General features: G+C 41.7%; 1 long non-coding RNA gene across 2 annotated transcripts in view, besides 1 other annotated feature; it reads right to left on the bottom strand.

The window, feature by feature from the left end:
- Window positions 1-25,619, bottom strand: part of LINC02934 (long intergenic non-protein coding RNA 2934) — a 298,411-nt gene that overhangs the window by 113,653 nt on the left and 159,139 nt on the right. For both annotated transcript variants that reach the window (NR_187140.1, NR_187141.1), the window contains one exon: window positions 3,214-3,285. This is a non-coding gene — a long non-coding RNA (long intergenic non-protein coding RNA 2934). The remainder of the gene's footprint in view (window positions 1-3,213; window positions 3,286-25,619) is intronic.
- Window positions 16,360-17,148: an enhancer, noted in NCBI's record as "OCT4-NANOG hESC enhancer chr2:66184819-66185607 (GRCh37/hg19 assembly coordinates)". NCBI's record gives its function as "activates a minimal SCP1, AML or CMV promoter by ChIP-STARR-seq in naive H9 embryonic stem cells {active_cell/tissue: H9 hESC(naive)}" and the evidence as "EXISTENCE:reporter gene assay evidence [ECO:0000049][PMID:30033119]".

Raw genomic sequence — 25,619 nt, 5'->3', positions numbered from 1 at the left:
GAGTTCCTTAGCAGGAATAAAGTCTTGAATCCTGACTATGGCTGTACTGAGACTACCTAAGACCATGGGCATAACAACATGTCCCTCCTTGACTGAAGCAGCTCTTTTCCCTCTCCTACTTTATTGTCCAAAACTAGACTGATGCTAAGAATAAACATACCTACACACATACATACAACCATCATTCATTCATTCACTCTCAGTCTTCATATCAGGAATGACTATGCTTTTTACTAGAATGCAAATCAGATGAGGCTACTGTGCTGCTCTCAGAGTTTAGAAGAGAATCACTCAATCTATCACAGAGAATTACTCAGTGGCCACTAGGGTGTCCCAGTGAGTGGGATTAAGTAATTCATGAAGGTTCTCTCTCCTTTATACTTTTTTGGGGGATTAATTCATTCTGCCAAGTAGAATAGTGACTGGAGAGATAGCATAAGGTTATGATTCAGGATATGGATTCTGGAGCCTGAATCCAGTCTGGTATGAATCCTAGCTCTAAGTAAATCACAAATCTCTGCCAGCGGTGTGACTCCAGATTACTCATAGAACTTGTCCAGGCCTCAATTCCTCATCTGTGAAATGGGTACAATACGTCAATATATGTAAAGCATGGACAGCAGTGCCTACAGTCTCCACACGGGCATTATGGGAGCATTTGTTCTTAAGGGGGTGTCTCCTACATGTTGTCAGCTGCTTGGTAGCAGGAAATTTGTGGCCCCTCAACTCCATCACAGATAGTCATCCCCAACAGAAGAGCATCTAGTGTATTTTAAACACTTGGTTGTGTATGTGATCTTACCTGAGAGCTCTTTCTTTAAGCAAACCTGTATTTCCTTCTGATGTAAGGTTCCTCATCTTCAGTAAGACAGAAGAGAAAACTGGCAAACACCCTTTCCACAGTAATACTCCTAGCACTTGATGACTAGTCTCAGGTGATCCATCAGGGTTTTCCCTTCCAGGCTAATCCATTCTTCAACATTGCCACACACAGACACTCTCTAGCCCTTTATTCATCTCCTGAGCCAGAGCCTTCCCAAGTTCTCTCTGTCTGTGTTGCCTGGGGAAGCTCCACTTAAGACAAGCACATGCTATTCCCCAAAAATACCTTCTCCAGTTGACAGTTACGACAAATGTCTTGCTGCATTTAAACTGAGATATTTCTGAAAACATGACTCCATATACTTTCTTACTATTTCCTTCACCTTAACTGAATGGATCCAGAGGTCCCAAATGGAAAGGACCTGACTGTGCTTCAAACTGAGAAAATGTATGTAAGCTGATAAATATCCCTGCCCATTAAAACGTATATCAGGGCTGGAAAATGGGCTTCATTTCATATGTCAACCCCAGTTCCTTGTGGTAAGGGTTCTGTTAGGGGGGGATTCTGAGGTTGGGTCCAAGCTCAATAAGAAAATGTGTTGTGATCAAATATAGTGTGTTCCATGGGCTCAGGGGTGGGGAGCAGCTTTGGCATTTGTTACACCTCCTCTAGATCCTTCCATCAGTCTGTGTAAAATCTTGAGAACATGTTACTATGTATATGCTCTGATTTGAAGAATATGACTCTTCAGATAAAATGTTTTCTTAATTATTTTGATCTCTCACTCATTACTTTTAGAATTGAAAAGCTTCAAAAAGATCCCAGTTACCTTTAAAATGTGTTTCTTTGGAGGAATAACCTAAGGGTTTTTTGGGGGTTTTTTTGTTGTTGTTTTTTTAGACAGTTTCGCTCTTGTTGCCCAGGCTGAAGTGCAATGGTGCAATCTCGGTTCACTGCAACCTCTGCCTCCCAGGTTCAAGCAATTCTCCTGCCTCAGCCTCCCGAGTAGCTGGGATTACAGGCAACGGCCACCATGCTTGACTAATTTTTGTATTTTTAGTAGAGACAGGGTTTCACCATGTTGGTCAGGCTGGTCTTGAACCCCTGACCTCAGGCGATCCACCCGCCTCGGCCTCCCAAAGTGCTGGGATTACAGGTGTGAGCCACCATGCCCAGCCTGCCCTTAGTTTTTATTAGCTTATCACTATTCCTTCCCTGAGTAACTAGCTAGTTACCTAGCAAGGACTTAAGGGAATAGGACCCGGACAGATAAGTTTTGATGTGGAGAGATTAAAAAAAGAAAGGAGTTTGGAGAACCTTCTCAACATAAACACAGTGATTGGGTTCCACAGTATAGCCTGGATAGGCAGCATGGGGTATGAAGCCACACAGTATTAGGGAGAATTGTCAATGGAGTGCCACAACAATAAATTGGATTCAGCAAGATGGAGATGTCTGAAAAGCATATACCATCCATTTCACAAATATGCTCATCTCAGAACTTTGAAGACAATTTTAACTTTCCAAAGCGCATAGGAGACGTGGAGAAGGCCAGAGCCACCTCTAATCGCCAGCTGGGTGAGATATAAAGGAAGGCCTACTCAGCTCACTAAAGAGAAGCCCAAGGAAGTTCTGGGCATACATCTTAGTGTGCTGATAAAGAGAACTGGATGAAGGGCTGGTCCTCTCTGCTGCCTGCTAGGATTTGTAGATCTTTGACTACTGTACCTCACCTATTCTTAAGTTGTTCATGTATTAACATCTGTAAAATCAAAATGCATCTTACAATCAATGGCATAACATAATTTAATAGGTGACTACTTGTATTTCTTAGTGAAACATAAAATAATGGCCTCTATTACACTGGATGGATCCTTAGATACAATGAAATATGGTATATGGGGAGGGGTTATAATCCATGGGACTACACAAGAATCTTTCTCTGGGGTTCAACCCCCATCAGCACAGCCCTCCAAGCCTCTGTCTTGAATCCATCATGTGTTTGTGGAGTCCCCAAATCTTCCAGACACAGTGATTGTGCTTGTGTGGTTACATAAAAAATCTTGTCAGGAAGGGAAAAGCAAGGCAGCCCTATTTATTTTAATATGTCTTCAGGTATTTTAAAGGTTTTTTTCTTACTTCTATGTTGGGGGTCTTTCTACTAGTTTAGAAGAGTTCCCTTCTCCCTCAATTCCCTAAATGCACCAGTTAGACTTTAAATTTAGGCATTTTCTATGTGGCCCCCTATTTCTATGAGATCCGGGAGAAGCCGCAGAGGAAGAAGGGAATGCTTTCAGAGTGTCACTTACACTCCAGAGGCTCTGTGCCACACAATTTCTTCCCTCTCTGTCTCTCAATGGATCAGAGCAAAATTAAATATCCAAACTCACCCAGACACTCCCAGTTGCTCCCAGCCTTTGGTCCATCCTTTGCCACGTGGTGAGAAGTACAGCTGAGTTGAGCTTTGGGAATATAAAATAAAGTTTCTATTTGTGCTGTGTCAATCAACACCCAATCCCACACCATGAGAGAATGTGCAGCCATGTGCCTGCCATATGTAGAATGTTACTCAGCCACCTTGGGGAGGGAGTACAGCCCCTCCAGAGAAATTCTTATAGCCCAGACATTTGACTCAGGGATCCAAAGGAGGTGTGGAGATCAATATTGACCATTCAACTATGCATGGGGAAGAAAAAGAAGAAAGAGAACAGAAAACAAAACCACAGAAAGAAGAGATGAGAGAAAGGATGTTTCCTCCCAAAACATATTGGGGAGTGAGGGGTGTATTCTCTAAAAGTGTTGATTTTTAAAAAATGTCCTTAAAGTAATACATTGGCATCACTATTATTAAAAATATATATGGGTGAAAAGACATAGAAGAAAACAACGTGAAAGCAAGGAGACACCTATGTTGGAAAACCTAGAAGGAGAGAATAGGATTTTCTGTCTTCATAAATCACACCACATGGCAGCCACAACTGCTTAGGAGTCATGAGATGGTGATAAGGGAGAACCTACTTAGGTTAGGATAGTCATGCAGGCTTTCTAGATCAGCCTCAAGGAGTTTATACTCAGTGAAGGAGAAATGTCTTATTAATTATCTAATAAAAATTATATACATGATATGTGCTTGCCCTCCAGAGAATATAGCAAGTGCTCTCTCCCTCCCTCACTTTCTCTCTCTCCCTCCTTGTCTCTCTTTCCTCTCTCTCAATTGATTGACCTGAATCAATGTCAGCTGGGAAACCCTAAAGGAGGATGACACCTTCTCCAAACCCTACCTTCCCATGTTGTTTCCCTTCAAATTACATTTGTTCATGTCTACAGAGTATTAAGGCACTTGCTGATTTATCAAAGGCACTCACAGGAATGAAACAATCTTCAGACTGAGACTTTAACAGAATTGACAGATCTGGTGGTTCCCTATAGACCTAGCTAAGACATGCAGAAGAACTGGAATATCATTGTCCTAAATTATCTAGAATAAATTGTCCAATTTCCCCACTTGTAGCATATGAACACGTCTCTTTCTCTGGGAATTGTGTGAGAAGCAAAACACACCTTTCCCTGTCTGATCTACTCCTTTGTGGATTTAAGTGGGGAAGAACAAGTAAGTATCCTTATCAAAAAGAATATTTTTCTTTTCTAGCTGAAAAAGCTTAAGTAGCAATCATTCCTTATGTGTGTATAGAATTTTATAATCTTCCAAGTACTCCCAACTTTGTTATTACATTTGATACTCATAGGCATAAAGCCCATAAATGTGATGTATATTTACAGTCATCTTAGCATCACCAAGCAAATCAACAATATTTCTGGAAACATTAACACCAGCTGCTCATAACCTCAAATAATCTCTCTCTCCATCCACTGTCCCACTCTTTGCTATACTCAACAGTTCTTTTTCTCTCCTGATCAATTCTGCTTCCTTTAAAACCTTTCTTACTGTTGTTGTCATTGTATTATACACATAGGTGTTTGCAAGTCTGTTGCCTCCAAGGATCTTTAATCATAAGATAATGAGTCTCAACGTTTTTCTCTTTTTCCTTTCTTTTTTCTCCCTCCTTTGTACTGCAAAAACGCTAATCAAATAATGCTCACATATTTCAAAACAGATGTTGTTTGTCTTCCCTTCACAACCACCTTCTCTTGGCTGCATCCTTTGGTGCTTGCATTTGCTCTTGTGACTTGTGTGTAGATCATCTCCAAGGCCCTCCTTGCCCCTTGCTACTCTGCTTCTATTTCTGTTGCCACAAAGATAAGTTGATGGTCTGTTCATAAATAATGCCACATGGCAGCCACAACTGCTTAGCAGCCAAGAGATGGTGATAAGGAAGAACCTACTTAGGTTAGGATAGTCCTGGCTTTCTAGATCAGCCTCAAGGAGTTTACGCTCAGTTATGCTCAGTTTAGCCTCGAGTTTATCTATCAGCTTCTAAATGAAAATTACTCATTTGTACAGAGAATTCTTTCAAAATTTTTCTTCTTACAAACTCAGCCTTTATTTTCTACCCTTGCCCATGAGATTTTAAAGCTGAAAGAAACCTAAGAAATCCAATCTAACTTTCTCATTTAGAGACAAGTAAACAGAAATCCTAACCCAGGTCTCACCAGCCCTTTGGACTTTGGAACAGACATTGATTTCTGGCACAGTCAGACCTCTCATCTGATTTTCATACTCATAAATTACTTGACATTGTCCCCTGGTGGCCCGTGTGTATTTTGAACTCACTTAAACTCAGTAACTGAGTTTACTCCTTGCAGCAGACAGTTCTCTAAAATAAAAATGTGATCCGGGTGGAGTCAAGATGGCCAAATAGGAACAGTTCCAGTCTACAGCTCCCAGCGTGAGTGATGCAGAAGACAGGTGATTTCTGCATTTCCAACTGAGGTACCGGGTTCATCTCACTGGGGAGTGCCGGACAGTGGGTGCAGAAGAGTGGGTGCAGCGCACCGTGAGTGAGCCAAAGCAGGGCGAGGCATTGCCTCACTCGGGAAGCACAAGGGGTCAGGGAATTCCCTTTCCTAGTCAAAGAAAGGGGTCACAGACGGCACCTGGAAAATCGGGTCACTCCCACCATAATACTACGCTCTTCCAACAGGCTTAACAAACATCACACCAGGAGATTATATCCCGCACATGGCTCAGAGGGTCCTACGCCCACGGAGCCTTGCTCATTGCTAGCACAGCAGTCTGAGATCAAACTGCAAGGTGGCAGTGAGGCTGGGGGAGGGGCACCTGCCATTGCTCAGGCTTGAGTAGGTAAACAAAGCACCGGGAAGCTCGAACTCGGTGGAGCCCACCACAGCTCAAGGAGGCCTGCCTGCCTCTGTAGGCTCCACCTCTGGGGGCAGGGCACAGCCAAACGAATGACAGCAATAACCTCTGCAGACTTAAATGTCCCTGTCTGACAGCTTTGAAGAGAGTAGTGGTTCTCCCAGCACACAGCTTGAGATCTGAGAACGGGCAGACTGCCTCCTCAAGTGGGTCCCTGACCCCCGAATAGCCTAACTGGGAGGCACCCCCCAGTAGGGGTGGACTGACACCTCACAAGTTCGGATACTCCTCTGAGACAAAACTTCCAGAGGAACGATCAGACAACAGCATTTGCGGTTCACCAATATCCGCTGTTCTGCAGCCACTGCTGCTGATACCCAGGCAAACAGGATCTGGAGTGGACCTCCAGTAAACTCCAACAGACCTGCAGCTGAGGGTCCTGACTGTTAGAAGGAAAACTAACAAACAGAAAGGACATCCACACAAAAACCCATCTGTATGTCACCATCATCAAAGACCAAAGGTAGATAAAACCACGAAGATGGGGAAAAAACAGAGCAGAAAAACCGGAAACTCTAAAAATGAGAGCACCTCTCCTCCTCCAACGGAACGCAGCTCCTCATCAACAACGGAACAAAGCTGGACAGAGAATGACTTTCACGAGTTGAGAGAAGAAGGCTTCAGAAGATCAAACTACTCCGAGTTAAAGGAGGAAGTTTGAAACAATGGCAAAGAAGTTAAAAACTTTGAAAAAAAATTAGACGAATGGATAACTAGAATAACCAATGCAGAGAAGTCCTTAAAGGACCTGATGGAGCTGAAAACCATGGCACAAGAACTACGTGACGAATGCACAAGCCTCAGTAACCGATGCAATCAACTGGAAGAAAGGATATCAGCGATGGAACATGAAATGAGTGAAATGAAGTGTGAAGAGAAGTTTACAGAAAAAAGAATAAAAAAAAAACGAACAAAGCCTCCAAGAAATATGGGACTATGTGAAAAGACCAAATCTACGTCTAATTGGTGTACCTGAAAGTGATGGAGAGAATGGAACCAAGTTGGAAAACACTCTGCAGGAAATTATCCAGGAGAACTTCCCCAATCTAGCAAGGCACACCAACATTCAAATTCAGGAAATACAGAGAATGCCACAAAGATACTCCTCGAGAAGAGCAACTCCAAGACACATAATTGTCAGATTCACCAAAGTTGAAATGAAGGAAAAAATGTTAAGGGCAGCCAGAGAGAAAGGTCAGGTTACCCACAAAGGGAAGCCCATCAGACTAACAGTGGATCTCTTGGCAGAAACTCTACAAGCCAGAAGAGACTGGGGACCAATATGCAACATTCTTAAAGAAAAGAATTTTTAACCCAGAATTACATATCCAGCCAAACTAAGCTTCAGAAGTGAAGGAGAAATAAAATACTTTACAGACAAGCAAATGCTGAGAGATTTTGTCACCACCAGGCCTGCCCTAAAAGATCTCCTGAAGGAAGCACTAAACATGGAAAGAAACAACCGGTACCAGCCACTGCAAAAACACACCAAATTGTAAAGACCGTCAAGGCTAGGAAGAAACTGCATCAACTAATGAGCAAAATAACCAGCCAACATCATAATGACAGGACCACATTCACACATAACAATACTAACCTTAAATGTAAATGGGCTAAATGCTCCAATTAAAAGGCACAGACAGGCAAACTGGATAAAGAGTCAAGACCATCAGTGTGCTGTATTCAGGAAACCCATCTCATGTGCAGAGACACACATAGGCTCAAAATAAAAGGATGGAGGAGGACCTACCAAGCAAATGGAAAACAAAAAAAAGGCAGGGGTTGCAATCCTAGTCTCTGATAAAACAGACTTTCAGCCAACAAAGATCAAAAGAGACAAAGAAAGCCATTACATAGTGGTAAAGAGATCAATTCAACAAGAAGAACTAACTATCCTAAATATATATGCACCCAATACAGGAGCACCCAGATTCATAAAGCAAGTCCTGAGTGACCGACAAAGAGACTTAGACTCCCACACATTAATAATGGGAGACTTTAACACCCCACTGTCAACATTAGACAGATCAATGAGACAGAAAGTTAAAAAGGATATCCAGGAATTGAACTCAGCTCTGCACCAAGCAGACCTAATAGACATCTACAGAACTCTCCAGCCCAAATCAACAGAATATACATTCTTTTCAGCACCTCACCACACCTATTCCAAAATTGACCACATACTTGGAAGTAAAGCACTCCTCAGCAAACATAAAAGAACAGAAATTATAACAAACTGTCTCTCAGACCACAGTGCAATCAAACTAGAACTCAGGTTAAGAAACTCACTCAAAACCGCTCAACTACATGGAAACTGAACAACCTGCTCCTGAATGACTACTGGGTACATAACGAAATAAAGGCAGAAATAAAGATGTTCTTTGAAACCAACAAGAACAAAGACACAACATACCAGAATCTCTGGGACACATTCAAAGCAGTGTGTAGAGGGAAATTTATAGCACTAAATGCCCACAAGAGAAAGCAGGAAAGATCTAAAATTGACACCCTCATATAACAATTAAAAGAACTAGAGAGGCAAGAGCAAACTCATTCAAAAGCCAGCAGAAGGCAAGAAATAACTAAGATCAGAGCAGAACTGAAGGAAATAGAGACACAAAAAAAACCCTTCAAAAAATTAATGAATCCAGGAGCTGGTTTTTTGAAAAGATCAACAAAATTGATAGACCACTAGCAAGACTAATAAAGAAGAAAAGAGAGAAGAATCAAATAGACGCAATAAAAAATGATAAAGGGGATATCACCACCGATCCCACAGAAATACAAACTACCATCAGACAATACTACAAACACCTCTACACAAATAAACTAGAAAATCTGGAAGAAATGGATAAATTCCTCGACACATACACTCTCCCAAGACTAAACCAGGAAGAAGTTGAATCTCTGAATACACCAATAACAGGATCTGAAATTGAGGCAATAATTAATAGCTTACCAACCAAAAAAAGTCCGGGACTAGATGGATTCACAGCCAAATTCTACCAGAGGTACAAGGAGGAGCTGGTACCATTCCTTCTGAAACTATTCCAATCAATAGAAAAAGAGGGAATCCTCCCTAACTCATTTTATGAGGCCAGCATCATCCTGATACCAAAGCCGGGGAGAGACACAACAAGAAAGAGCATTTTAGACCAATATCCTTGATGAACATTGATGTAAAAATCCTCAATAAAATACTGGCAAACCGAATCCAGCAGCACATCAAAAAGCTTATCCACCATGATCAAGTGGGCTTCATCCCTGGGATGCAAGGCTAGTTCAACATACGCAAATCAATAAACGTAATCCAGCATATAAACAGAACCAAAGACAAAAACCACATGATTATCTCAATAGATGCAGAAAAGGCCTTTGACAAAATTTAACAACCCTTCATGCTAAAAACTCTCAATAAATGAGGTATTGTTGGGACGTATCTCAAAATAATAAGAGCTATCTATGACAAACCCACAGCCAATATCATACTGAATGGACAAAAACTGGAAGGATTCCCTTTGAAAACTGGCACAAGACAGGGATGCCCTCTCTCACCACTCCTATTCAACATCGTGTTGGAAGTTCTGGCTAGGGCAATCAGGCAGGAGAAGGAAATAAAGGGCATTCAATTAGGAAAAGAGGAAGTCAAGTTGTCCCTGTTTGCAGATGACATGATTGTATATCTAGAAAACGCCATCATCTCAGCCCAAAATCTCCTTAAGCTGATAAGCAACTTCAGCAAAGTCTCAGGATACAAAATCAATGTGCAAAAATCACAAGCATTCTTACACACCAATAACAGACAAACAGAGAGCCAAATCATGAGTGAACTCCCATTCACAATTGCTTCAAAGAGAATAAAATACCTAGGAATCCAACTTATAAGGGACGTGAAGGACCTCTTCAAGGAAAACTACAAACCACTGCTCAATGAAATAAAAGAGGATACAAACAAATGGAAGAACATTCCATGCTCATGGGTAGGAAGAATCAATATCGTAAAAATGGCCATACTGCCCAAGGTAATTTATAGATTCAATGCCATCCCCATCAAGCTACCAATGACTTTCTTCACAGAATTGGAAAAAACGACTTTCAAGTTCATATGGAACCAAAAAAGAGCCCGCATCGCCAAGTCAATCCTAAGCCAAAAGAACAAAGCTGGAGGCATCACGCTACCTGACTTCAAACTATACTACAAGGCTACAGTAACCAAAACAGCATGGTACTGGTACCAAAACAGAGATATAGATCAATGGAACAGAACACAGCCCTCAGAAATAATGTTGCATATCTACAACTATCTGATCTTTGACAAACCTGAGAAAAACAAGCAATGGGGAAAGGATTCCCTATTTAATAAATGGTGCTGGGAAAACTGGCTAGCCATATGTAGAAAGCTGAAACTGGATGCCTTCCTTACACCTTATACAAAAATTAATTCAAGATGGATTAAAGACTTACATGTTAGACCTAAAACCATAAAAACCCTAGAAGAAAACCTAGGCAATACCATTCAGGACATGGCATGGGCAAGGACTTCATGTCTAAAACACCAAAAGCAATGGCAACAAAAGCCAAAATTGACAAATGGGATCTAATTTAACTAAAGAGCTTCTGCACAGCAAAAGAAACTACCATCAGAGTGAACAGGCAACCTACAAAATGGGAGAAAATTTTTGCAACCTACTCATCTGACAAAGGGCTAATATCCAGAATCTACAATGAACTCCAACAAATTTACAAGAAAAAAACAAACAACCCCATCAAAAAGTGGACGAAGACATGAACAGACACTTCTCAAAGTAAGACATTTATGCAGCCAAAAAACACATGAAAAAATGCTCATCATCACTGGCCATCAGAGAAATGCAAATCAAAACCACAATGAGATACCATCTCACACCAGTTACAATGGCCATCATTAAAAAGTCAGGAAACAACAGGTGCTGGAGAGGATGTAGAGAAATAGGAACACTTTTACACTGTTGGTTGGACTGTAAACTAGTTCAACCATTGTGGAAGTCGGTGTGGCGATTCCTCAGGGATCTAGAACTAGAAATACCATTTGACCCAGCCATCCCATTACTGGGTATATACCCAAAGGATTATAAATCATGCTGCTATAAAGAAACATGCACACGTATGTTTATTGCAGCACTATTACGCAATAGTAAAGACTTGGAACCAACCCAAATGTCCAACAATGATAGACTGGATTAAGAAAATGTGGCACATATACACCATGGAATACTATGCAGCCATAAAAAATGATGACTTCATGTCCTTTGTAGGGACATGGATGAAGCTGGAAACCATCATTCTCAGCAAACTATCACAAGGACAAAAAACCAAACACCGCATGTTCTCACTCATAGGTGGGAATTGAACAATGAGAACACATGGACACAGGAAGGGGAACATCACACACCGGGGCTTGTTGTGCGGTGAGGGGAGGGGGGAGGGGGGAGGGATAGCATTAGGAGATATACCTAATGCTAAATGATGAGTTAATGGGTGCAGCACGCCAATATGGCACATGTTTACATATGTAACAAACCTGCACGTTGTGCACATGTACCCTAAAACTTAAAGTATAATAAAAAAAAATGTGATCCTGCTACTACCCTGCTTAAAACTATCGACGAGTCCTCCCTGCCATTAAGGAGGAGTCCAGACCCTGAGCAGAACTTCAAGGCTGTCAGGTGTTTGGACCTTCCTGATCTTCAAGCTCGTTTTTGGCTGTCCTCACATTTCATTTCAAACCAGCCTTCCTTCAGTCCCTTAGATGAGATAAGCCACGCTCTTTCCTGCCTTGGGGACTTGGCACAAGGTATTTCCTCTATCTGCAAGATTGTTGTTCTTCTGTGTTATTTGTATAACTGGAAAACTCCTATTCATCATTTGGGTATCAAGTTTAGAAACCATTGCCCCAGATCTTAGCACAGCTCAGGCCTTACTTCATGTAGTCCTTTGCTCAAATGTCATCTTTCCAGAGAGGCCCTCCCTGAACCAGCACACCTTACTCACCATCGCTCTCCATCTTCCTGCTCTGATTCTTTTTTCTTCATAGCACATGTCACAGGTTCACAGATTATATACTCATTTGCCTATTATTTTCTCTGCATCCCCTCCAGAACCCACCCAGCACATGATACTTCAAGCACCATCAGAACAGGAACTTTGCCTGTATTTGTCACTGCTAAATCCTTAGTGCCTAGTAATCACTTTAAATATTTATTAAATGAGTAACTATTCCTGGCATTTAGCATAATATTTTGTGTATAGCAGTAGTCTAATAAATATTTGAGATTGAGGGAAGGGAAGAAGAAAAGGAGAAAGGGAGGGATGAAAATGAAACTTGGGGGTTCATAATGGCTTTCACCTTTTCTTCCTTTAAAAGTTGCGGCATCTTCTTTGCGTATTGTTTTTTTTTTTTATCATCTTTCTCCTCTTAGCCATGAAAAATAACTCCCAAGAAACAGATCAGGCAATCACCAAACCTAACACAGAATACAGGACAGCAGTGAAGCCTTCAGTTGTGGGAGCACTTCCAGATATCAACTCATTTCTAAAGCTTGGAGGCCTGCATCGAATCACTAATGGCTGCCTCCTTGATTGAAATGCCAGAATTAGTCCACAGCCTTGCCCCTTTCCCTGAGTTTCCTAAAAACGATGACATAAAGGACTCCTGTGACATCCCCTTCTCTTATTACCACATCTCCCAACATACTCCCAGATGTGTGTAGGTGGCGTCATTATTCCTCCTTAACCTTCTCCATCCCTCATCACCTGCACCTCATTGACATAGAAGTCTTTCACTTGCTCTCTGACTTGTACTATTTTTCTCCACGTAGTTCATTTTTCTTTTTTTTTTTTTTGACAGAGTCTCACTCTGTTGCCAGGCTGGAGTGCAGTGGCGCAATCTCAGTTCACTGCAATCTCTGCCTCCCGGGTTCAAGCGATTCTCCTGCCTCAGCCTCCTGAGTAGCTTGGATTACAGGCACGCACCACCATGCCCAGCTAATTTTCGTATTTTTAGGAGAGACGGGGTTTCGCCATGTTGGCCAGGATGGTCTCGATCTCCTGACCTCGTGATCTGTCCACCTTGGCCTCCCAAAGTGCTGGGATTATAGGCATAAGCCACCATGCCTGGCCAGTTCATCTTTATTTTATGAAGATTATCTGCTTCATGTTCTGAGTTTCCTTGGAATCTTCCCCTTAATAATTTGTTTGAGAATCTTGCTCACCGGGCTGAAATTTAAGGGCCTCACCTTCCTTTCTTTTTTGAAGCAAGGAACTGTGCTGGCCCAGCTCCCACGTGCTGATCCGTCTCTCATCCCCTCCACAGTTGGTCCATGAGCACTGGCAGTGATCTGCCTTCTTGCCTTCTCATGTGCAAGAACATAGAAATGCATCTGCTCCAGCCAGGAAATTAGAATTCATCCAGAGCAGGGAGGTCCCCGGATCTGTTCATTCACACTGGGCCACAGTTCCTTCCTACTGATGTTTGTTCTTCCTTCTACAGCCCCAGCCTCATTCCTTTTGGCAGAAAAGATGAATGTAAAATAGGACTGACGGAGTTTGCTCTGTACACTCATTCATCAACAGTACCATAGTGCTGCCAAGCACCCAGCCAAAACTGTTTCTTTTCTTCTTTATTCCATGCTTAGTTTTAAATCCTTTTCCCTATACTAAGCATTTTTGAAGGACTTGGTTCACTTTGGGCTTTTCTAGCTTTTTAAAATATTTTCTATTTCTTTTCTTTTAAAAAACCAAAAAAAAAAAAACCTGCTGGTCATTTTCCTTTATACATCCCTGGTTTGAGTTTATTCTTTTAAATTTGTATATATCTTTAAAAATCCATGTTCATTACAGCTGGACCTATGGAGCCAATCTGATTCTGTGGTTTCTTTCATTTTTTTTTTCTTTCTCAGTTAGATCCATCTCTCTAAAATCATCAGAATAGCATCAGGATGGAATCAGAACTGGGGTAACACAGGACATTTTCATTTACTTTTAGTGTACTCATTGCAGCCTGATTCATAACACATTGTAGAAAACACAGGAAATTGGCTGCTCTGCCTATGGAGTAGTAATTCTTAATTTCTTTACAAAAAAAGGGAAAAAATAAAATACTAGAAATCAAAAAGAAGAAGATTGAATTCATCTAAAACCTGGCCAACAAGGAATAATCACCATTTATATTTTAGAGTATACACTTTTAGGGTTTTTTTCCCCCCCTCCCATGCATTAGCAAAAAATGAGATTGCTTTTGTATGCAATTTTGCTGCTTCCTAAGTTCACCTACATTCTACTATGCATATTTTTCTGTGTCACTAAATATTGGTCTACATCATTTTTAAAGGCTATCTAGTATTTCATAATATAGATAAGCTATTATTGATTCAACAAATGCCTATTGTGAGACAGGTTGGCTCTAACATTTAGTATTAGAAACAATAATTGTATAATGAACATTATTGTACAAAAATCTTCATGTGTATCAGCAATTGCTTCTTTGGGATTCATTCCTAGAAGTGACCTCCTTGGTCAAAGGATCTGAATGAAGTTAGGGGATATAGATCATAAAATCACCTTCCATGTGGGCTTTACATTCTCCATAAATGTATCTGTTTCTATTCTCTGGAGATGAGCATGTGCACTTCTCACCTCCAGGACGACAGTAGGTATGACAATTTTTTAAAAAATTTTATCCAATTTGCTAGGTCATAAATGATATTATTTGCTGCTTTCAATTGCATATATTTGATTAATAGTAGGTAATAATATTTTCTATATATTTATTGACTTTATCCTGCTTTTGTGAATTATCTATGTCCTTTATACATTTTTGTCTTTTTCTTAAATCACAGGAGTTCTCTATACCTCAAGAATAGTAGTAGAACTATCCTTATAAATATTTTATTCCTAGTTTTTCACTTGCTTTTAAATTTTTATCACTTTTTATAAAAAAATAGTCTTTAGCAATTTTAATTAATTATCTTTTTCTTATATACTATCTGCCTGTGGTATCATGCCTTAAACATCTTCTCCACCAAAAGATGATTGTTAACAAATCACTCATATTTTCTTCTAGTATTTTCACCTATTTAAACATTGAATTCATATGGGACGTAATTTGGTAAATAGTATGAAGTAGAAAATCTAATTTTTGCTCCAAATTGCTAATCATTTATTTCAAAAACATTTATTAAATAATCCTTTCTTTCCGTAGTGATTTTAAGTACCATATTTATCTTACACAAAGTAATATTTATACTTAGTTCTATTATAGCTTATTTTATTCTGTTAACTTGAAAAGAGTTGGTACTTTTGCTATTGTCTATTGTCTTCTTCTTCTTTTTTTTTTTTTTTTTTTTTTTGAGACGGAGTTTCACTCTTGTTGCCCAGGCTGGAGTGCAGTGGCGTGATCTCAGCTCACCGCAACTTCCGCCTCCCGGGTTCAAGCAATTCTCCCGCCTCAGCTTCCCGAGTAGCTGGGATTACAGGCATGCACCACCACGCCCAGCTAATTTTGTATTTTTAGTAGAGATATGGTTTCTCCATGTTGGTCAGGCTAGTCTCCAACTCCTAACCTCAGGTGATCTGCCCACCTTGGCCTCCCAAAGTGCTGGGATTACTGGCGTGAGCCACCGCGCCCAGCCTATTGTCTTCTTATTCAGAAAGAAGGTAAATATTTTCATTCGTCAAGATATTGTTTCTCAATAAAGGTTTTTTTTGTTTTTTTCACGTGAGTCTTTAAGGTACTCTGAACACATTTTATGTTTCCAGTTGCTATTGTTAATGGGATTGTCATTCATCATATTTTTACTGGCTTATTGCTAGTATATAGGAACTGCAATGGACACTGTGATGTGCTGCTCAGGCTCTCACTCTGGGCTTAGGCAAGCATTTCGCCAACTACTGGGTGTTGATGGATGACAGATTTAAATTGACTTCCTCTCTGGGACTCCCTTTAGCAGAAAAGAGCTGCTGTGCTCAAGGGCTCACTTTTCCCCGAGATAGCCCATATCCAGTGACTAGTAGGTTATGGGTATCGAGATCCAAATCCCTTGCTTCATGGCAGGGAAATGCTGAAGAACCATCCCAGCTCCAGGTCTCCCCATGAGAGTGGTTATGAGGTTCTTGTGGCAGTTGCATCACAGTTCAATATTTCCCTCTTCTCCCCTAGAGGTATTGATCCTGAGAGTACTCATCAATAAATATCCTGCACAGAAGCCTTCATTTCAGAGCCTATTTTCCTAGGAAGCAAACCTAAAACAATTGTTGCCAGGAGTGATCTGAGGAGGAAGAAAACTGAACTAAAATGCAGTTTTGAAACTGGATCACCTACTAACCCGCTGGCAGTGAGGACCCCATTCCTAGTGGTAGGTGACTCGCTGAAAACTACAGGCATGCTGTAGCAGTGCAATTGTTAAAGCTTTTTATCAGCGATATCCTGCGATAGAACACCCTTGGAAGAAAATGCACTGGCAGATGCAGTAGCTTAAGCTTTCGAGAGGTTCTGAAGAAGTACTAATTATAAAGACAATGGAATCCAATGGCTTGCTGAGTGGCACTGATGCAGTGGAGAGAGACAAGAAAAGGCTAAGGGTAATTAATCACTAATTGAAGGCTAAGTGTGAAAATCAGAGGACCTCCTTGGCAGCATGTAAAGAGGCTCTGATCCCTTGATCTCCTGGGGGAGGAGAAGGTTAAGGATCAAGCCCGAGACTTAATTATAAGAGTAGCAAAGCTCCAGAGAAAGTTGGATTCTCTTCCCTGGTAAGTCTCCTATGCCAGGGTTAGGGCCCTAATTGAGGAGTGGAACCCTGAGACTTGAGCTGGGTCATTTGGGTCAATGCACTTGAAAATCTTTACACTCCAGATTCCCCTGAACCCCTTGGGTCTATAGTCCCCAATTTCTTAAAGATGATTCAGAGACTCCTGTGCTGCAGAGCAACACACAGCCTCCCTCAAGTTCGATCCCCACCCAAACCCCTGCTGGGGTTTGTAACTTGACCTAGCATCAAGTCACAACACAGTCTGGCCAATGATATGCTGGGCAGGCAAAGGAAGGAGAGGGACTCTATTGCCATGATGCTCTGAAAACCTAGCCAATTTATACTGAGAGAAGCCGAAAGAGTGTGTATGGAACTGGGTCCTGGGGATCTTGGAGCAAGAGTGGGTGTGGAATATAAAGTTGAGGGAGGGAGAGTTTATCAACATGGGAACACTCTCTCATAATATAGGATTTAATATCCTGGCCCAGGAAATGTTGCTTACATGTGGTTAGGATTGCTCTGAAGATGAGAGAAAGAAAGAGCCCAAACTTAGTTAAGTAGAAATGCCAAAGCTGCCATAGCAGATGGTAGGATGAGGAGCTTAGAAGCTTGGGAAGTTGGCACGCTAGAGTGGATATGGTATGTAGAGCAAGAAAGCTCATCTGGTGGCAATGTTCTGCAGGAGGGCCCAGAGGACACCCCACTTAGCAAAGCAATAAGGGAATAAGAAATGGGCCAGAGAGAGGGGCTGTCCTCTGTAAACTAGAGCTTAGGGAAGGAGATGCTATTGCAGAACTGGGCTCACTGGTAAGAAAGGAGATGATGATCACCCTGGTGGTGGCCCTTACTTGTCAGAAGCAAGGAAGGCACTGTCTTAGTTTGTTCATACTGCTATTACAAAAATACTATAGAGTGGGTGACTTAAACAACAAACATTTATTTCTCACAGTTATGGAGGCTAGACAGTCTAAGATCAAGGTGCTGCTGTCAGCACCTTCCATGTCTTGTAAGGGCCTGCCTTCTGGTTCATAGCTAGCTGTCTTCTCTCTGTATCCTCACAGGTTGGAAAGAGGTGAGAGATCTCTCCAGGGTCTCTTTGATAAGGGCACTAATCCCATTCATGAGGTCCCCACCCTCATTTTCTAATAACCTCCTAAATGCCACACCTCCTAATACATCATATTAGGGATTGGGGTTCAACATATGAATTATGAGGGGACACAAATATTCAGTCCATTGCAGGCACAGTGACTGTGATACATTGCAAAGCCCAAGTGGCAGCCAGGAGTATCTGATTCATGAAGAGCTAGGTAGATGGTTAACACAATAAGGCACGGTAGGGGCAAAATAGGTGGACAGCCAATAAGCCCATTGCTCAGTCTAAACCAAAGAAATCATGGATAGATGATAAGGAGGCTAAGGACAGACACTGTAATAAGAAGGCATGATCCTTTGTCTAGTTTCTGAACCTGAGCTAGTTTTTAAATTCAGAACCATTGACTGAAGGAAAAGCTGGATACCTAGAAGAAAAGACCCTGCAATACCAAGGCAAGTTTGCATGGTAATAATTTCACTAATTCTTCTCCAAAGAGATCTATGACCACTATTCTGGCAATCATACACTGGAAAAAGTAGAATAAATCAACTTTTCAAGAACTGTTGAACACAGGAGCTGAACTGCTATCTGGGTACACAAGTGTCCTCATGGCTACCTGTTATAGTGGGAGCTTATAAGGGACAAGTAATCAATGGAGTCCTGGGCCCAACCTTGCTCACAACAGGTTCACTGGGTTCACAGAGCTACCCAGTGGAATTTCCTTGAATCCAAAATATGTAATTGGAGTATACATACTTGTTGTTTGGCAAAATCCTTCCATGAGCTTCTTAGCTTTTGAAGTAAGAGCTATTGAAGTCGGGAAGGCCAAGGTGAAAGTCTCTAAAACTGTGCCTTCCAAGTCAAAAATTGTAAATAAAATACACTCTCATGTTCTGGGGAAAATGGAAGAGATTGGTCCCACCTCCAAATGCTTTATTGAGAACTAGGTTACAAGGGTGGTGGCCCCATTATATTCCTATTTAACTCACCACTCCTATTTCCTTAAAAATAAAAACAGATCCTAGAGGATAATAGTGGATAACATCAAACTTAGCTCCAATTGCAGCTTCTGTGTCAGGTGTAGTACCTTTTCTAGAGAGTAGACCAACACAGCCTCAAGTACATGGCCATTGAGCTGGTGAATGCGGCGTTTTACATCCTTATCAGGAACAAGGATCAGAAACAGTTCTCTTTCATTATGGAACAGGCAACAGAATGCATTTACATGATTGCTCCTGGGCTATGCTAACTCTCATGGCACTTGTAGCAGTGGTCCTGCATCTACAATTTAAAGGGATTGGAATCTACTGGACATTGTAGATATTGATGACACCACATTTATTGGACAAGAGGAATAACAAGTAACAAGTATGTGGAAGCCTTGATCATATATATCTCCAGAGGAGGGAGGGGGCAGAAATAAACCCTATAAAGATTCAGGGACATGCCATATCAGTAAAGGTTTTAGATGTCCAAGGATGTTGGGACACCCCTTTCAAAGTAAAGGACACATTATTGCATCTCACACCTCCAATCAATAAGAAGGAAGCACAATGCTGACAGGCCAGTTTCTGGAAGCAGCATATTCCATATTTGGAGATACTACCCTAACCTCCTACTGGGTGCCATGATAGCTACCAGGTTTAGGTGGGGACTACAGCACAAAAGGGCTCTACAAATAGGACCAAGCTGTGCTGAAAGTAAGCCTGCCACTTGGCCCATATTACCTGGGAGACTCTGCGTTATAGAGGTACTGCTATGAGAGAAGATGCCCTCTGGACTTGAGGAGAACCACAATGCAGACCCCAAGGGTACTGAAGCAAAGTCATGCCACCAGTAGTGGAGAAGTGGCATCTTTTGAAAAACAGTTCCTGTATGGGTGCTGGCTCCTGATATAGATACAGCATCTGACCATGGGACATCTAATGACCACTTGACTGTAACTGCTTACCATGAATTAGGTGTTGTCAAACCTATCAAGTAATAAGGTCACGCAGGCCCAGCAGCAACTCATCAAACAACCAGGGCCAGAGGCACAAGCAAGCAGCACAAGCAGGTGCCCCAGACCCCATTTCATTCAGTACTCTTATGCCAACGCCTTGCCCTCAGCTCACATCTGTGGTGTGGGGAGGGTCTTCATGATTCCCTCATGTGACCAGAGGATAAAAAAGACAAAAGGCTGGGTTTGGATCATAGATGTGTCTTCTCAATGTGTAGATGCAGGATGAAAGGGACCACTGCTACATAAAAGCCCCACTCAGAGGTGGCCTAGAAAGGCAATGGTATGAAAAATCCTCCCAAGAGGCAGAGCTTCAGAAGATACACTTGATAATGCACTTTGCATGGAATAAAAAGTGGCCTAAAGTGAGAACATATATGGACCCAAAGGCAATGGTGAGTGGCTTGTCTGGTGTGTCAGGAATCTGAAGAAGAGAGATCAGAAGAGTGTGCACAAGGAGAGATAGAGAGGAGGCATGAAGATGAGTCTATGTAAGTAAGTGTAAAATGTGAAGATCTTTACATCTCATGTTAAATAACCCACCAGAGAGTGTCTACCATAAAAGAGGAACTGAACAGCCAGGCAGGCAGTACGACTTGTCCAGTTGATGTTATCCAGGCCCTGCATCAGCCACCTCAGTGCTGGTGCAATGGTGCAGGAACAGAGACAGGGACAGGGCTGTGCATGGGCCTGACAGCATACACTCCTAGTCACGAAGACTTACCTAGCTTCTGCAACCATTAAATGTCAAGCCTACCAGCAATAGAGATAAATGCTGAGCTTCTGAAACAGCGCCATTCCTCAAGAAGACCAACCAATGATTACACTGCACCCCTTCCATCCTAGAAAAGCCAGTGATTCATCTTGATTGGAATTGAAACACACTCTGGATATAGGTTTCCCTTTCCTGTCTGCAGACCTCAGCCAGCACCACTACCCAAGAATAGAATATTTGATCCACTGACCCGGATTCCACAAGTATAACATTGGACCAAGGTACCCACTTTACAGCAAAGGAAGTACCACAGTGGCTTCATGGTCATTAGATTCACCAGGCCTGTTACATACTGCATCGCCAGAAGTTGTTGGCCTGACAGAGCAGCAGAGTGGCCTTTTGAATGTGCAATGGAGGGGCCAGTGTGGAGATGATACTCTGAGGAAGGCAGCCTCTCCAGATTGTAATAGGTGCTCTAAATTGATGAACATTGCACAGTGCTGAATCTCCACAGATAAAATATGTGGGTTTTTTTTAAATGACCAGAAATAGGAGTCACATCATTTATCATCATCGCAGTGACTCACTTATGGAAATTTGTGATTTCTTTCCCTAGAACCCTATGCTCTGTAGCTTTAGAGGCAGTAGACCCCAGAGGAGGAAAGCTTCCATCAGGTGACACAGCAAGATCCCATTAAACTATAAACTATGACTTCCATCTGTTTACTTCAGGATCCTTGTGCCAAGGCACCAGTAGGCAATGCATGGAGTCACTAGGGTAGCTGAGCCAATCGTCATGAGTAAGTAGGCCTGCTGGTATGCACTGGGCCAGAGAAGAATGTTTAGAAACCAGGTGATGCACTGGACTATCTCTTGGTACAACCTTGTACAATTTTGACAGTAAATGAACAAGCACACAGTTCTTGCCTGAGAAGCACATGACAGCCTGGGGCTCTGATCACCCAAGCGTGTGGGTCTCAGTCATCCTACCAGGTGAGCTACCTGTACTACAAGAGTTGCTAGACCAGGCTAAGAGGAAGGTAGAGTGGATGAAAGATGAGAAAGACAGGGAATATCAGTTGTAATCTGGAGACCAACGGCAGAAGCAAGGCCTGTCATTCATTCCACTTACCTACTTCTTCTAAGTCTCTTGTTTCTTTTTCATTAAATTATCCTTTTATATTTATTGATTTATTTTTCTTTTTTATGCTTTTTAATATTACACTGTTTTGTTGTTGTTGTTGTTGTTTTTGAGATAGAGTCTTGCTCTGCCGCCCAGGCTGGAGTGCAGTGGCGTAATCTCGGCTCACTACAACCTCAGCCTTCTGAGTTCAAGTGATTCTCATGCCTCAGCCTCCCAGGTAGCTAGGATTACAGGCATGTGCCACCATGCCCAGCTAATACTTTGTGTGTGTTTAGTAGAGACGGGGTTTCACCATGTTGACCAGGCTGGTCTCAAACTCCTAGCCTCAAGTGATCTGCCCTCCTCGGCCTCCCAAAGTACTGAGATTACAGGCATGAGCCACCATGCCCGGCCCATTTTTATTTCTTGAACTAAATGCTTAGCTTGATTATTTTAGTCTTTCTTCTCCTAATCAACACATTTATGATTATAAATTTTTATTTTGTTATAACTGTAGCCACATTCCATCAGTTTTTGTGTGTGGTGTTCTCATTTCATATATCTCTAAATAGTCTAGAGTTTTAATTTTTTATCTGAACTAAGATTTAAGGGTGCTTAATTTCATTTTTTACAATGTAATTAAAAATTTCTCTTGAACAAGGTTTGATTGTTTTTTATAGACTTTATTTCCCAAATGTTTATATAGATTCAGTAATCTGGTATCCTTGCTTTCCATAACCAAACCACTTGGCTTACTGGCACATTACTAAGCATAAATGATTTCTTAGCTTCCAGTTTTACCTTTTACCTTTTGGATTACCTTCATTCCAGTTATGACCCACTTTTCCACCTTAAATTTAAAAAAAAAACCTAAAACTTCCTAGCAGGTAGAGAAGCCACCCTTCAAATTGCTACAGCCCAACTTCCCATTCATATTGCCAAGTTCAAACCTCAAAGCAAGCTGCTTTACTGGAACTGGTACCACAAGTAAATCCTCCTAAACAAAGTCATAGTGTTTTCTGTACTTACTCTTTCATTTATGAATAGAATGAACAGAGCCTCTGACCCTAACCTGCTCTGTTAAAGCCCACCACATTCTTCCAGCAGTCCTTTTCTCCTGACAGAACCTCCACACCAAATTCAATTTGTCTGTGGCTCTGAACTTCATATTGAACTCCCTGCCTGCAGAATATGGTATACTATAAATAGCATCCATTCACTGAATTCATAATTACAGTTCCCACACTGCATTGTTTTTCCCTGAGTAGCTACTTTTTGCCTCAAGAGAGAGACCAAAGATTCAGGTCCAGTATGTGCCCCAAAGGTTTATTCCTGTTGCTTCTTCCCTGCTCAGGAGCTGCATGTTGCTTTTCTTTTCCTGAAAACTCGGAAAAACAAGGGATGCCTCCATGTTTTTGCTTCCTTCCTCTGCCCATGCTCCCTATGTCCTTCCCATTTTGCACCATGCCACAATTTTAGAACATTTTATCTTCAAAGACCCAGTATGAATGACCACTAGGACTCCCTCTTTGCCACAGCAAAAGACAGATGACAAAATCTTAGGGATACAGCTACATTCCTGCAGTAGTGCTTTTTAATTCTCTGATTAGGAGGACAAGTTGAACCCATCCCAGTCCCCATGAGCCCAAGCTGGATGCCTGGAAGGGACATGCAGAGCCCAGCTGAGAGCCACATTAAAATACCAAGACCAGAGCACAGAAGCCGAGCCAACAGCCAAATGAACTGGGCTGAAATGGAAGCAAGTTGGGCAAGACTGGCCACTGATTACATTGGGTACCTCCTGCTTCCCTTTGCTGATCAGTGAGAGTATGGTATGTGTGTATGGGGGGTCGACTTACAGAGATATTGTTGATGCAAACATATGCATCCTCCTGTTAATTTCCTGTTTGTGCCAGATTCTGCATGCCTTATACTCACACACTGCATTCCCCAGCTGCTTCCATTTCCTGAGGTCTTCCATTTTTACTACTGAGATATTTTATTCTTTTCCACCCATATACTTGGAAGTTCTGTTGGCCAGCTTTGTCTCAACATGTACTGTGCCTTCATAGGCAAAGCTCATCTTATCCTTACAAAAATCAGGTAAAACATGCAGGGCAGGTGTTTTGTCCATCTCACAGATAAGGAAACAGAGGCATTAAGAGGTTAAGTGACTTGTCCTAAACAGATTAGTAGCAGGGCACTCTCTGAGTTAGAATTTGGATCTCCTAACTTCTGCTGCAATTATAGTCACCTTAGAATTACGCTGATGTGTAGGATTGTATTCATCCACAGTGAGCAGCTTCAGTGCTATCTAGCCTTCTGCTCCTACGCAGTAATATGGCCCAAGCATAAACTCACCACCTTCTCAAATCAGACATGCATATTCTGTAGTCAGACATCCTCAAGTCACCAGTATACTCCCTTATCATGCTCAGATGACTGTTCTTAGTTTCACAATATTTTACCTTCAACCAGCAATATAACCCAGTCCTGCAACCTGCAACTGCTGTCATTCCTCAGTAGATTTTCTTGTCTAAATATTAAATGTGCAAAGTTCTCTAAATCTTAGAGATGAGAGTTACCCAAGTCCCTAGGAACAGCAGCCTTTCTCTCTTCTCTATGTTCAATCACATGGGCTGCTAATTTTCTCTAATATTAACTAGATAATTTCCATGGTGCTGTGTAATTGGCAGCAATTCCATTTAGGAAGGAAAGAAATTGTTTCCAAAGTCAAAGCTATAGAGAGAAAGAGAAAAAAAACAAGTAAGTCTTTGTGTTTAATTTCTCTTCTGTTTGAGCAACATTTTATGACTATGCCTATACACAGCTCATACACTTTGGCAGGACTACCCTGTAAATGAAATGTGCTATGACTTTCTGCATACGGTAAGAATCTGTAAAGTGCATACTTCCTAATATGTCAGAGTGTAGGTTCCTTCTGCCACAGCACAACTTCTGGCCTCAGTAATGCATGGATAACTTCTGAATAACACACTCATGGCTGTTGTTTATACCTGATGACAAACATTCACTTTCTGCCAGTTCTGGAGGACTCCCAGCTTTAGAAGGTTCTTGGGAGAATCCACTTCAGGCCAGTCCACCTGATCGATTGATCCTAAAGTCACCTGCTAAGGTTCTATGAGAAGCGAACAACACAACAAAACTTTTATTCAAAAAGTGTTCAGAACTAATGTGCCCATTCTTTAGAAACTTATCAGCAATAGAGAAAATCGGGCTTTAGAAATATGAAAATTATGTGTTACAGGAATCAAGGTGAAAATAACCTTTCTGCTTGTACCCACAACCACATACACTCATAATCACATAGTCACACAGAGGCTCCAGTCTTTCTCCAACACAGCCCATTCTATACATCTATATCACAGCTATTTATCTGTGATATTTCTCAAAGTCATGTTCTTCATATTGCCCTGTAAGTTATCAGAAATCCCATTGCCTAGACAGTTGAAGTGGGAAATTCCCAGCAAAAGGGCTGCCATGCTCTCCTCCCATGTCTTCCTATTTGACCATTGAACTCTTTTTTTTTTTTTTTTTTTTTTTTTTTTGAGACGGAGTCTCGCTCTGTCGCCCAGGCGGGACTGCGGACTGCAGTGGCGCAATCTCGGCTCACTGCAAGCTCCGCTTCCCGGGTTCACGCCATTCTCCTGCCTCAGCCTCCCGAGTAGCTGGGACTACAGGCGCCCGCCACCGCGCCCGGCTAATTTTTTTTGTATT

Source organism: Homo sapiens, chromosome 2 (genome assembly GCF_000001405.40).
Source record: "Homo sapiens chromosome 2, GRCh38.p14 Primary Assembly".
In the NCBI taxonomy this organism is placed as follows: Eukaryota; Metazoa; Chordata; class Mammalia; order Primates; family Hominidae; genus Homo; species Homo sapiens.
The sequence above is the reverse complement of the archived record's forward strand: the minus strand, read 5'-3'. Positions and strand labels throughout refer to the sequence as shown.